This window comes from Homo sapiens, chromosome 4 (genome assembly GCF_000001405.40).
Source record: "Homo sapiens chromosome 4, GRCh38.p14 Primary Assembly".
NCBI classification, from domain to species: Eukaryota; Metazoa; Chordata; class Mammalia; order Primates; family Hominidae; genus Homo; species Homo sapiens.
The window spans coordinates 139,596,608-139,610,625 of record NC_000004.12 but is presented as its reverse complement, the minus strand read 5'-3'; the positions used below and the strand labels follow the sequence as shown (position 1 = coordinate 139,610,625).

Here is a 14,018-nt window from a genome sequence, read left to right as displayed (position 1 = left end):
AAGTAGCACAGAATCTTACAATTTGTCTCTCTAATCCCTCTGTGTCCCTCTTATAAGGACCCTCGAGATTACACTGTGCCCACCCCGATAATCCAGGATAAACTCTCATCTCAAGATCCCTAATTTACTCACAACTACAAATTCTCATTTGCCATATGAAATAATACATTCTCAGGTTCCAGTGATTAGAATGGGAACATTTTTTGGAGGGCCCATTTTTCAGCCTGCCATACCCTATAACCCCCAAAGCCTAAAACATTTACTATCTGGCTCTTTACAAAAATGTTTGCTGATCCCTGCCTTAGACCTTGGGACTGACACATCAGAGCAGTAACACATGGCCTGTAGAAAGAACTGCTCTGCCACGTAAACCCACAAGAGCTCCCCTCTAAGCCAGTCCTCACTGGAAACACTTACCTGTAATTAACTATGAAAAACCTCAAAAACATATTTAGCATTAGAAGAAAATCTAAATTTTCAAAACATAATCAGGATTGTTTTTGGCTAAACGGTGCCCTTTTTCTTGACTTAGACATCAATTTTTTTTTCTTCTCAATAATATTGGCAGGCATAGCTAATAGCTTAATCAGTATCCATTTTCCTCTTCTTTCTTACCAATGCAACCTCAATTTTTAACCAGGTTGCAATATACCCAGTTTATATTCATCTCTCTAGCCTTGCTTACAACTAGAGATGGCTCTGTGACTCATTTGATCAATGAGTTAAAAGCAGAAATCTGCTGAATGGAGCCTCTGGGAATACTATTGTTTTTATAGCTTAAAAAGAAATGGTGCTGACTCACTCAGTTAATCCCTGCTGCCCTTCACCATATCACACTACCCTGTCCTGCTGCCTGCACTACCCCCTTCTTGCCACTTCTATTCAATATTGTACTGTAGGTTCCAGCCAGGGGAGTTCAGCAAGAAAAATGAAAAAAAAAAAAAAAAAAAAAGGCATCCAGTTAGAAAGGAAGAAATAGTTGGCCGGGCACGGTGGCTCATGCCTGTAATCCCAGCACTTTGGGAGGCCAAGGCGGGAAGATCACCTGAGGTCAGGAGTTCCAGACCAGAATGGCCAACATGGTGAAACCCCGTCTCTACTAAAAATACAAAAATTAGCCGGGTATGGTGGTGCACGCCTGTAATCCCACCTACTTGGGAGGCTGAGGCAGGAGAATCACTTGAACCCAGGAGGTGGAGGTAGCAGTGAGCTGAGATAGCGCGATTGCACTCCAACCTGGACAAGAGCAAAACTCTGTCTCAAAAAAAAAAAAAAGACAAAAAAGGAAAGGAAGAAATAGTTACCTCTATTTGCAGATGACATACTCTTGTCTACAGAAAATCCTAAATAATCTGCAAAAAAATTGATTGCAGCTAATAAATGAATTTGGCAAGGTTGCAGGATACAATATGAATATATAAAGATCAATTACATTTCTATACACTCACAATAAATAACTCCCAAATGAAAACAAATCCATTAACAATAGCATCAAAGAGAATGCTTCTGCTTTACTTGTTTCCAAAATTCTCACCACTCCCTTTACTCTCTCTGTCTCTCTCTGCCTATCCAACCCCTACCCCGTAGCCTCCCAGCCTTCTACTTTCCCCACTTTACACACAAACACACACACACACACACACACACACACTGAATTTGAATTTGTATCACAACAGCAAACAGTTTATTGAAAGCATGGATTTGGATTTGGACTGATCTAACTTTGAATCCAAGTTTCGCTTTTTGTTTGCTTGTGTCCATGAGGCATGTACCTAAGCTCTCTAAGCTGTTTCCTTGTCCACAGAAAGGGGATAATAAGAACACCTACCTCAGGGGGGTTTTGTGATGTTTAAATTAGATGTATATAAGATGTTTAGCCCAGAACCTGGCACACTGTGTGTTCTCACCTAATGGTGTATAGTAGCTGTGACTGCTGCAACTTGCTAACCACCAGAGATGTTTGTAAAAACAAAACAAAAAACTCATCCTGGACTTGTTTCATTCTGCTGAAGATCAGAGAAGAAGAGACCCTGGCTTACCCATGGGATGGCAAGAATTATATCTGTAAATAATAATAATAATTAATAATAATTCCTTGTTCCAGTAGAAATTTTCCTAGACATAATACTCCAGTGTTAAAGTACTGAACTGTCTTGAGATGCTCTCAGTAAATACATGGTTCTATCAAATCTGTTGTTTCTTTTTACTTTTTTTTTTTTTAGACGGAGTCCTGCTTTTGTTGCCCAGGCTGGAGTGCAGTGGCGCGATCTCAGCTCACTGCAACCTCTACCTCCCGGGTTCAAACGATTCTCCTGCCTCAGCCTCCCAAGTAGCTGGGATTACAGGTACATGCCACCATGCCCGGCTAATTTTTGTATTTTTCATAGAGATGGGGTTTCACCATGTTAGCCAGGATGGCCTCAATCTCCTGACCTCATGATCCACCTGCCTTGGCCTCCCAAAGTGCTGGGATTATAGGCATGAGCCACCATGCCTGGCCCAAATTTGTTGTTTCTTAATAAGGAGACTTTTTGGCTTACATATAAAATTATTAAGGGATAGAGCAATAGATACTCTGTGAAAGAGATAATAGGAGCAGGATATGGCTTGGAAAAAAGAAGTCAGGCTATGTGAAATTAATAATGGTCTTCAATAAGGATTTAACAACCTATTATGAAGAGTATAGTGGTCAGTTCTGCTCCATTTCCACTAAAACACAGATGAAGTATGAGGCTTAACTGTGGCATTTAAAGTAGAGATTTAGTCAAGTCTGGATTATACATGCTTAGAAAAGGGAATCAAGGAATGGATAATGAGGACCATTTTATAATCTAAAACTGCATTTGGCCTTAAAGTGAAGTCACTGACATTTATTCAGGGAATGTCTTTATGAAAACAACCATATTGATTGTCTTGAAGATTTTTTTTTCTTGTTGCAGTTGCATTCATTAATTGCGCAATTGATTAGATCACTCAGTAGATCATTCTTGGTAATTTTTCATGCTAAAGCATCTGGTTAATTAGGTTTTATCACGATTAAAAAAAAAAAAGAAGAAAGAAAGAAAGAAACAGCCCATTCTTAGACTGGTTTGCAGACCACGGTCAGCCAAGGGGCACATTCCTGTATTCATCCCAGCCTCCTGGGACCAGGACTTCTCCACTCGCCTGTAAACTGCTCCATCCAGGCTCCTGTCTTTCAGTGAGGATTTGGGCTCCGGCTTTGAACTCTGTCCTCCTCAAGTACCATCAGCATCTTAGGTGACCTGAAGCCTACCTCAAGGACCCATCACACCTGAGTTCCTCACTTCTTTGCTTTTCTTCTCCCCTTCAGCCGCCAATGAGTTAAAAGTACAAATCTGCTGAATGGAGCCTCTGGGAATACTATTGTTTTTATAGCTTAAAAAGAAATAGTGCTGACTCACTCAGTTAATCCCTGCTGCCGTTTACCACATCACACTACCCTGTCCTGCTGCCTGCACTACCCCCTTCTTGCCACTTCTATTCAACGTGGTACTGTAGGTTCCAGCTAGGGGAGTTCAGCAAGAAAAATGAAAAAAAAAAAAAAAAGAAAAGGGGGGCATCCAATGGACACACCTTGATCTTGTCGTCCCAGATCCGCTCCTCTTCTGAAATCAGAAAACTGAAACTTCTTACCCTTCCAACCAGGCGACTCAGTTACTTCCCAGACACCATCTCCTTGACCCCTGCAGCCCCACCTTGTTTCTTGAGTCAACTCTCCTGATCTCCTGCTTCAAATCTCCACCCTTCAATTCTGTCAGCCCCACCTCACCCTCTCAGCAGATCACCCCACCCCATCAGAAGAAAACAGATACTCCCAGAAGAGAAGAAGTGGAACACGTGCCGTCATATCTCTACACTGCTTCCGCCTTCTTCCTTCCCTTCCGTTACGACAGAGGAAGTCACTCATCCGTCCTAGCTCCTGGACGCTGGACCGCTCCTCAACTCCCTGCTCAGGGGGAGACTAGCTCCTCGTATTATGTTCAGTCTCTACGTTTCTCTACAGAAAGGTAGGAACTAGGGAGCATTTAAACACATTTGTTTTTTCCCAATCTTGAAAGTAAAATCAAAGCCCCTTGTCAAACCCCCCTCCAAATCCTAAACTGTCTTTTTCCTCTCCATGGACAGTCGTCTCTTCTCTCCCTCTGCAGCCCTCCCAAGTCCCACGGCAGCTGGGTCTTCATCTCTCCACTGCACCCAGAATCACACGCTGACCCAGATAAAGCTCAATGCAGTGAACACTCTTGGGTTTGTATCTGTTTTACCTCCAGGCAACATTTGTTGCTACAGACTACTCCCTGTTCTCTTCCTTTCTGTAATCCAAGTGCTCTCTAGGTCTCATATTCAGTCTCCCTCCTAGACGCCTCCACCCTGGAATAATGTGTTTCGTGTTTTTTCTTAGGGCTGTGTCCTGCGTTCTTTTCTCTTCTCGCTCTTCCAGCTCTCACTGGCTGCATTTGTTTCCTCTCGAGGCTTCATTTACAATCTGATGTGTGACAACCTTCAGTCCTTTTTCCCTAGGGTAGGCTTTTCTCCAGAGCTCCATGTAGCTAACTAACCACTGGACACCGGTTCTTGGAGCCAGCTCCTTCAAACCGCTCAACTCATCCTGTCTCCAACAAAATCATCCTTAGCCCTTCCTTTCTCCCAAGTCACCCTGCAGGTTCCCTTGCTCCTAGTAATAACGCCATTGTTTACCCTGTTGCTCAAGCCACGAAGTTAGGAGTTACTCCTAAAGCCTCCCTCTCTTGACTCCTCAGATCCAATCAATCATCAAGTCTTCAGTTCTCCGCTCTAGATATCTAGCTAGCTATTTCTAATCCCCACCAGCCCTTGCTTTAGTATAGCAAAACCCTCCTAACTGGTCTCCCTGGTTCCTGCCTGGCTCTTGCACACAGCTTTGAATCTATAAAATGTTAATCCAATTGTGTCCTGCATTCCCTCCCCTTCATCTGAAACCCTCTAAGACTTCTCATGGCCCCTAAGGGAAAAGGCAGCCTCCCAAAGAGGGCTCAGAAGACTCCTGGGGCTCTGCACAATTTGGCCCCCTTACCCAAGCACCGGCCTCACTCCTCTGCACTCTCTGCTGCACTCCACACCTCACTCCAGGGCCTCGTTGCGCTTCCCGCTCTCTCTGGGCAGTCCTCCAGTACTCCTCTCCTTTCCCAACTAGGCTAACCCTTACTCAGGCTTCAAATCTCAGTTTAAATGTCACTTCCACGTGAAGCCCTCTGTATTGGGTGGAATGATGCCCTTTTACTCCTCCCCTCCACAAAAGCTATTCCACATCCGGGCCGGGTGGCTCACACCTGTAATCCTAGCACTTTGGGAGGCTGAAGTGGGTGGATCACTTGATGTCAAGAGTTTGAGACCAGCCTGGCCAACATGGTGAAACCCTATCTCTACTAAAATACAAAAATTAGCCAGGCATGGTAGTGGGTGCCTGTAGTCCCAGCTACTCGGGAGGCTGAGGCAGGAGAATTGCTTGAACCTGGGAGATGGAGGTTGCAGTGATCTGAGATCGAGCCACTGCACTCCAGCCTGGGTGACAGAGTGAGACTCTATCTCAAAAAACAAAAAAAACAACAACAAAAATGCTATTCCACATCCTAATCCCTGGAACCTGTGACTATCATCTGATATGGTAAAAGACGTGATTAAACTAAAGATCTTGAGAGGAAAAGCTTTTCCTGGAGTGTCTGGGTGGGCCCTGTCTCAGTCTGCTCGAGCTGCTGTAAAAAATACCACAGATAGTGTGGCTTAAACAACAGAAATGCTTTTCCTCTTGTTTCTGCAGTCTGGAGGTCCAACATCAGGGAGTTGCCGGGACTGGTTTCAGGTGAGGCCCTGCTTCCTGGCTTGCCTTTTCTCTGTGTCCTCACATGGTCTTTCCTCAGTGCTTGTGCAGGGGGAGAGGGAGGTCTCTGGTGTCTTCCTCTTCTTATAAGGGCACCAGTCCTATTGGATTAAGGCCTCACCCTTTTGACCACATTTACCTCTTTTAAGGCCCTGTCTCCAACTACAGTCACACTAGGGGTTAGGGCTTCAACAGATTTGATTTGAGGGGGGCACGATTCAGTCCACAACAAGTCCTAGATACAATCCCATGTATCCTTATCATGTAGACACACGGAGGAGGAGACACACAGAGAAAAGGAGGCAGTGATGTGACCACAGAGGCAGAGATTGACATGATGCAGCCGCAAGGTGAGAATGCTTGGAGCTGCCCCCAATAAGGGAGAAGGAAGGACCTGATTCTCTCCTAGGGCCTTCCAGGGGAGTGCAACACCTTACTTCAGACTTCTGGCATCCAGAACTGTGAAAGAGTAACTTTTTGTTGTTTTTAGCCCTCCAGTTTGTGATAATTTGTTACAGAAGCCACAGGAGGCCAACATACTTCCATGACCTCATGGATAAGATTAGGTCCCCTGCCAGCTGCTCCCAAGGTCCCAGTACTGTACTTTCCATAATCCCCACCACACTCGATGTTTAAAGTCAATCTCGACCTCTAGACTTTAAAGTCATGAGGACAGGGACTTTGCCTTTCTTGCACACCACTTCTTCCCCAGGGCTTGGTACATAGTAGGTGCTCAATAAATATATGTGAGATGGATGAATTCATGAGCTGATATTGAGAAGCTCTTGGCTGGGAGAGTAAATAACCAACTAGCCTATGAAAACAAGCTAGGGAAGTTCTTTCCTGTAGGAGACATTCTCAGTCCTTTGAAATAATTAGGTGAGGTCTTGTCTGCAGACCACAGGAATGACCTTTCAGGGAGTTTTCTAGTCCCTGATACTGTGACCCTGTGGTTTTCAGTTTTCCTAGCAACTTGAGCTTTGGTGCCCTCTGGTGACAGAAATTACTTGTCTCTTGGTCTCTTGTTCTACATCTGTCAAAACTGACACAAATCTAGTTACCTGTTGCTGTATAGAATTTTCTCATTATGGAGAAATTGAATTTTGTCTGTGCAGTTACAAGAAATCTGCTAGAATTGTGTGATTAACCAGTCTGTAAAAGTTTCATAAAGCACATAACCTCCAAAGACCTTACAGATGCCCATTCAAGTGTTTCCTTTTGAATATGAAGATTTTCTGATGAAACACAACGTTTCAGGTTACGTTTGCTACCATACTTTTCTCCTCAAATAGCTATGTTTTTAATATGAAATTTAATTACTATTTTGAAAACCAACATTGTATTAAGTGGCTGCTTATAATCACTGGAGGCTTACAGTGCTTTCCAATGCCTTTAAACCTTTATTGTGATTGAAAAGCAAGTTGTTAGAAGATTGTGTGTGTGCTGTTTGTAAATGAGAAGTTATGGGTCTGGCTGCCTGTCCGTAAACAGACTTGCTTTATCTCCTGAGCTCGTGCAAATGCTGACAGCTCCACAGTCTTCTGATTTTAATTCTGAGTGAGTGAGTTGTGATCCAGACTGTTCCACATGGCAACTGCACGCACAAGTGTGCTCGGCTTCACACCAAAGATGTGTTTCTCAATGTGTCATTTCAAGACGATTTGAGAGGAGGCAGTAAACACAATTTTCTTTCCTCACGGACAACATAATCCTCTTAGCAATAATTTATCATAATTTCTTTGAGCTTCAAAGGGACAAATGGGTTTGTAAATATTTCAGTTTGAGGGTTTTCTGACCCCAACCACTTAGTCAAATAAATAAGCTGCTATTTCCAGGAATTCAACATTGGTTTCCTTACTAAACTGAAGAATCCCTTATATAATGTAAACAACCACCCTCTTATTTTGTTTGTATATTCTGAGTTTCACTTTCCTATTTATATATCTGTACCTACCCACAAGACACTGATGTCCCCAATCTGCTTCTTACAAAGAGGCAGAGTTATGCAGGCCTCACGATGCAACTGCTTCTGGAAAATGCAACTGCGTGCATGGTGAATCTTCAGCTGGTGAGATATTACAGATTTCTTTTAAAATTTTTTCTAGAGAGAAATGGGTTAAGGAAATAAAGATATTGGAATGGGGCGGGAACGTGAGGTGATTATTTTAAAGACTTGGGAGGGAATAGAGTATAATAGTTGAGTATAGCTTCTAGAGTTAGACTGCCTAGGTTTGAAAGCAAACATTGCTATTTGCTAGTTCCGTGCCCTTAGGAAAGTCACTTAAGCCCCTGCACCTCATATTCCTTATTTGTAAAATGGTGGTAAAGACAGTAGCTATCTTTTAAAGTTGCTGTGAGAATTGAGTGACTCAGTGTTGTAAAGACCCTCGAATAGTGTCTGGCACATAGAAATATAGATATAGTACATATAAAATTATATATACATAATATGTACATATATAATAAATATATAAACATATACATACATGTAATATATGATATATAAAATATATCATATAATAGATAAATATATACATATAATAATTATATGTACATATTTATGTTATATAATTATTATATGTATATATTCATAAGCATATATGTATTTATATATACTTATATATATACATGTATTTATATATACTTATATACATACATGTATTTATATATACTTATATACATATATATTTATAAATATATGCATTTATATATACTTAAAATGTATATATTTATAAATTTTATTATAAATGCATACATATATAACTTATATACAATATATCACATTTATATATAATATATAATTTTTATATGCATATATGTTTATGTAAATTATATATAAATATGTATATGGGCTGGCGTGGTGGCTTATGCCTGTAATCCTAGCACTCTGAGAGGCCGAGGCGGGCTGATCACCTGAGGTCGGGAGTTCCAGACCAGCCTGGCCAACATGGTGAAACTCCGTCTCTACTAAAAATACAAAAATTAGCCGGGCATAGTGGCACACGCCTGTGATCCCAGCTACTACTCGAGAGGCTGAAGCATGAGAATCGCTTGAGCCTGGGAGGCAGAGGTTGCAATGATTTGAGCTGAGACTGTGCCACTGCACTCCAGCCCGGGAGACAGAGCGAGGCTGTGTCTCAAAAAAATGTTTATATATATATATAATCCTTCTCCCTCAGTTACTAAACAGCCTTCCCTGGACCTGACTATCAGCAATGAGAATTACTCTTCTTTGCCCCATTTCTCTCCTTCTGCCTAAGCCAGAACAATCACTTCTCCTGGAGACAGATTCATTATGAAAGGACTTTAATTCTGGTCTGACAGACTGCTTGACATTGGAGTGAATTCTCAAGGCTTATCAAAATCATCTCGTGGAATGATGAGTTGACTTGCACCCACTGAAACGGGGGCAAATCTCCTTCAAAAGATCATGCCAAAGACTGTGTGGGTACCGGAAAGGCTGTGTGGCAGGGAAAAGGTTTGCTCTAACCTAGAAGCCTGCAAGGTCCCCTCTGCACGCCCAAGCAGCGGGCCCGAGTTCATTATGGCCAGCAAAGCCAACTGACACCACAGGAAACAGAGCTCGTGGGACACCCCATGACACGAAGTTTTCAACCTCATTGCTTCCCCCTGAAGTCAAGTTTAGTCACCTGTGCTGTGCTGGACCAGCCATGAAAGTAATGAGGGAACTGGATCACTCCAGGGAAGCCCAGGTGGAATAATAGGTGTCACTCAAAAGTACAGCTTTCAACTTAAAAAGGAAGGAAATTCTGATACATGCTACGTGGATGAACATTGAAGGCATGATGCTAAGTGAAATAAGCCAGTCACAAAACAACAAATATTGTATGATTCCATTTATATGCGGTACTTAGACTAGTCACATTTATAGAAACTGAAAGTAGAAGGGAGGGTGGTTGCCAAGGGCTAGGGGAAAAAGGGAATGGAGTTAGTGTGTAATGGATGTATTTCAGTTTTGCTAGATGAAAAAGTTCTGGAGATTAGTTGAACAATGTGAATGTACTTACTACTGAGTTGCAGACTGAAAAATGGTTAGTATGGGCCAGGCGCGGTGGCTCACACCTATAATCCCAACACTTTGGGAGGCCAAGGTGGGCAGATCACTTGATGTCAGGAGTTCAAGACCAGCCTGGCCAACATGGTGAAACCCATCTCTACTAAAAATACAAAAAAATTAGCCACGCATGGTGGCGCATGCCTGTAATCCCAGCTACACAGGAGGCTGAGGCACGAGAATCGCTTGAACCCAGGAGGCAGAGGTTACAGTGAGCCGAGATCACGTCACTGCACTCCAGCCTGGGCAACAGAGATAGACTCTGTCTCCAAAAAAAAAAAAAAAAAAAAAGTTAGGATGGTAAATTTAATGTTATGTATACTTTTCCACAATTGTTAATTAATTTTTTAAAGTGCAGCTTCTGATGGCACACGTATCTCTCCCTCTTCTTTGTCTCCAGAAGATGAGAGGGAGCATGAGACAGCAGATAGGATGCGTCATCTTATTGCATTTATTTCTGTAGACCATGCATTGAGGCTGTCTGACCTTCAATTATTCATTAAACAAATATTTACTGAGTTGAGTACGTACTACATGCCAAGCATTGTTCTAGAGGCTGGAGTTACAGCAGTGAACAGAAAAAGATCTCCCCAGTTCCCTAGTCACAGGGATCTCACCTTCTAGCAGGTGGAGAAAAACAATAAGTAAATAAGCAAGTAAGATATATGGTATTTATATGGCAATAAGAGCTATGGAGAAAAATAAAGCAAAGAAGGAGGAAGAAGAAGAGTGTTTCAGGGTTGTATTTTTAAATAAGGTGGTCAGGGGAGACCTCACTGAGAGGATGGTATTTGAGTAAGACTTGAATGAGATTAGGGAGTTAGCTATTTAGGTATCTGCAGGAAGAGTGTTTCAGACAAAATAAAAAGTCAGTGCAAAGGCCCTGAGGCAGAAACATGAATGGGGTGTTTAAGGAAAAGCAAAGGGGCCATTGTGGCTGAAAAGGTAAGCAGCAGCAGAGAGACAGTCTAAGAAGAGGTTAGAAACATCACAGAAGCAGCCCAGATCATGAAGGTTGAGACGGAGTCTCGCTCTGTCACCTAGGCTGGAGTGCAGTGGCACAATCTCGGCTCACTGCAACTTCTGCCTCCTGGGTTCCAGTGATTCTTCTGCTATACCTCCCGAGTAACTGGGACTACAGGCACCCACCACCATGCCCAGCTAGGTTTTATTATTATTATTAGTAGTAGTAGTAGAGACAGCGTTTCACCATGTTGGCCAGGCTGGTCTCAAACTCCTAACCTCAAGTGATCTGCCCACCTCAGCCTTCAAAAGTGCTGGGATTACAGGCGTGAGCCACCCTGCCTGGCCCCATTATTTGTAAGAGTTTGACTCATACTCTGAGACAGTAACTAGAGGAATGATATGATCCAACTTCCATGTTAAAAGGATCACCAGGGGTTGGAGGCGGGGGTGTCAAGGGCAGGATCAGGAAGACTAGTAGGACTGCAATACTCCAGGCAAGAGATGCTGAGAGCTCAGCCCAAGCAGGTAGCTATGGAGGTGGTAAGATGTGGGCAGATTCTGGGTATATTTTGAAGATAGGGCCAACAGGATTTACTGAGAGACTGGAGGTAAGGCTCCACAGAAAGAGAAATAAGAGAAACATTAAAGATGACCGTATCGGTTTCCTGGGGCTGCTGTAACACATCACCACAAACTTGGCGGCTTAAAACAACAGAAATTTATTCTCTCACAGTTCTAAGGCCAGGAAGTCTGAGATTAAGGGGTTCTTGCTTCCAGGGGCTCTAGAGCAGCAGTCCTCATCCTTCCGGGGCCGGTTTTGTGGAAGACCATGTTTCCACGGACAGGGGCAGGAGTGCCGGGGGAGAGAGGCAGCAGGGTGGTGGGTGTGTGTGTGGATGGTTTCGGGATGAAACTGCTCCACCTCAGATCATCAAGGATTAGTTAGATTCTCATAAGAGCACGCAACCTAGATCCCTCACGTGTGTGGTTCACAATAGGGTTTGCATTCCCATGAGAATCTAATGGCACTGCTCTGACAGGAGGTGGAGCTCAGGTGGCAATGCTCATGGGGCCGCTCACCTCCTGCTGTGTGGCCCAGTTCCCAACAGGCCATGGACCAGTACCATCGCAGCCCAGAGGTTGCAGACCCCTGCTGTAGAGGATATTCTATTCCTTGTCTCTTCCAGCTTCTGGTGGATCCAGGCGTTCCTTGGCTTGGGGTTACATGACTCTAGTCTCTGCCTTCTCCTCTTTTCTGTGTCACCTGTCCCTTGTAAGGACAACTGTCATTGGATTTAGGACCCACCCAGATAATCCAGGATGATTCCACCATGAAATCCTTAACTTCATTAAATCTGCAAAGACCCTTTTTCTGGCTTACACAAAAATGCTTCTGGTTGTTTTAAAAGATAAACCAGTTTTGTTTAACTTTGTTTACTGCAGGCACTAGAAGTGCAATTGGCCCTCTTGAAATTTGGGATTATTTAAAAATAAAGGCTGGGAGCAGTGGCTTATGCCTGAAATCCCAGCACTTTGGGAGGCCAAGGCAAGTGGGTCACCTGAGATCAGGAGTTCAAGACCAGCCATGGCCAACATGGCAAAACCCAGTCTCTACTAAAAATACAAAAATTAGCCAGATGTGGTGGCAGTTGCCTATAATCCCAGCTACTTGGGAAGCTGAGGCAGGAGAATTGCTTGAACCTGGGAGGCAGAGGTTGCAGTGAGCTGAGATCGCACCATTGCACTCCAGCCTGGGTGACAGTGAGACTCCGTCTCAAAAAAAAAAGATCCTTTTTCCAAATCAGGTCACATTCTCAGGGCCTGGCGTTAGGATGTGGACATACCTTTTTGTGAGCCATGATTCAACTCACTACAGTGACTCTTATTTTAATCTGAGCAACTGTAAAGATGAACTTGCCATTAACTGAGATGGAGAAGAATGCCAGTTTGGGAGAGAAGTCCAGGAGCTCGGTGCTGGACATGTCAGGGTTGAGATGCTTGTCTGACATCCAGTGGAGCTGATGAGTGGGCAGCTGGGTGAATAAGCCTGAAGCTTGGGACAGAAGTATGGGTTGGAGATGGAAATACGAAGGTTCCCAGATGTGGACAGCATCTAAAGCCACGGACCCATGGTCTCAACCAGGGGAGGAGTGTGGACAGAGGAGAAAAACATCAGGGACTGAGCCCTGGGGCACACCAGGATTCAGAGGACCCAGCCAAGAGACTGAGAAGGAGCAGCCGGGGAGAGAGGAGGCAAAACAGCAGAGTGTGAGGTCCTAGAAGGCAAGGGAGGGAACTGCTTTAAGGAGAAAGGAGTGATCAACTCACAGTAGCAAATTTTCAGAACTGGGCATTCAAGTAAAAGTTGAAATTTCCTATGCAGTTTCCTGTAACAAGATTGTGCACTTTTCATGTCACTCCCCTCTTATGATGTGGGAAAGGCAGTGACATCTGCTTAAAATCATCACTAATACCCTTATGTTATAATGAAGCATATTTTCAAAGCGTGTCGTTACCATTTTTATCAGCATAGCTTTTCCTTGGTTCCATGTTCTATGTCTACAACTCAGAAGGGAAAGAAAGGCACATGTTTCAGCCCCACATGGGGTCAGGAGAGACTGTTATGACTGAGTCCTGAGCTGCTGTTGCCTGGAGTCACACCATTTTCCTAATTTTTAGTTCCTGCGGTAAAAGTCTTGTCCTTAACAGCAGCGGGGGCTGTGTGAGGAAAATCAATCAGGGAAACTGTTTTAAAAGGTTTTAAATGATTACCAGAGCATAGTATAATCACTTCAGGAACCAAGACAACAATTTGACAAGTGAAAAACTCCCCAAATTCCACTGGCTTGCCTGAAAGCCTGTTACAAAAAAACAAACATCTGACAAATCAATCAATCTAGCTTAAACATCCAAACAGAGGGCTTTGTCACTGAGTGAGGGAGAAGCAGCATGAGATGACTGGGTGGGTTTTCCACCAAATGGACATCCAGAAGAGACAACTTAAATCTTGAGCTGTTTGGGAGGTTTTTAGTGAATGATAATGAATGGTTAAATTAGAGAACTGAGTGCTAAATCCTGAAGAATAAATATGTTTTGTGGAAA

General features: G+C 43.4%; 1 long non-coding RNA gene across 1 annotated transcript; it reads left to right on the top strand.

Moving 5' to 3' along the window:
* Nucleotides 1-3,922: 3,922 nt before the first annotated feature.
* Nucleotides 3,923-14,018, top strand: LOC105377622 (uncharacterized). Its single transcript, NR_171655.1, has 6 exons — nt 3,923-4,028; nt 4,170-4,266; nt 5,816-5,857; nt 6,144-6,225; nt 7,869-7,943; nt 9,055-14,018. It is a non-coding gene; the product is annotated as an uncharacterized LOC105377622 (long non-coding RNA).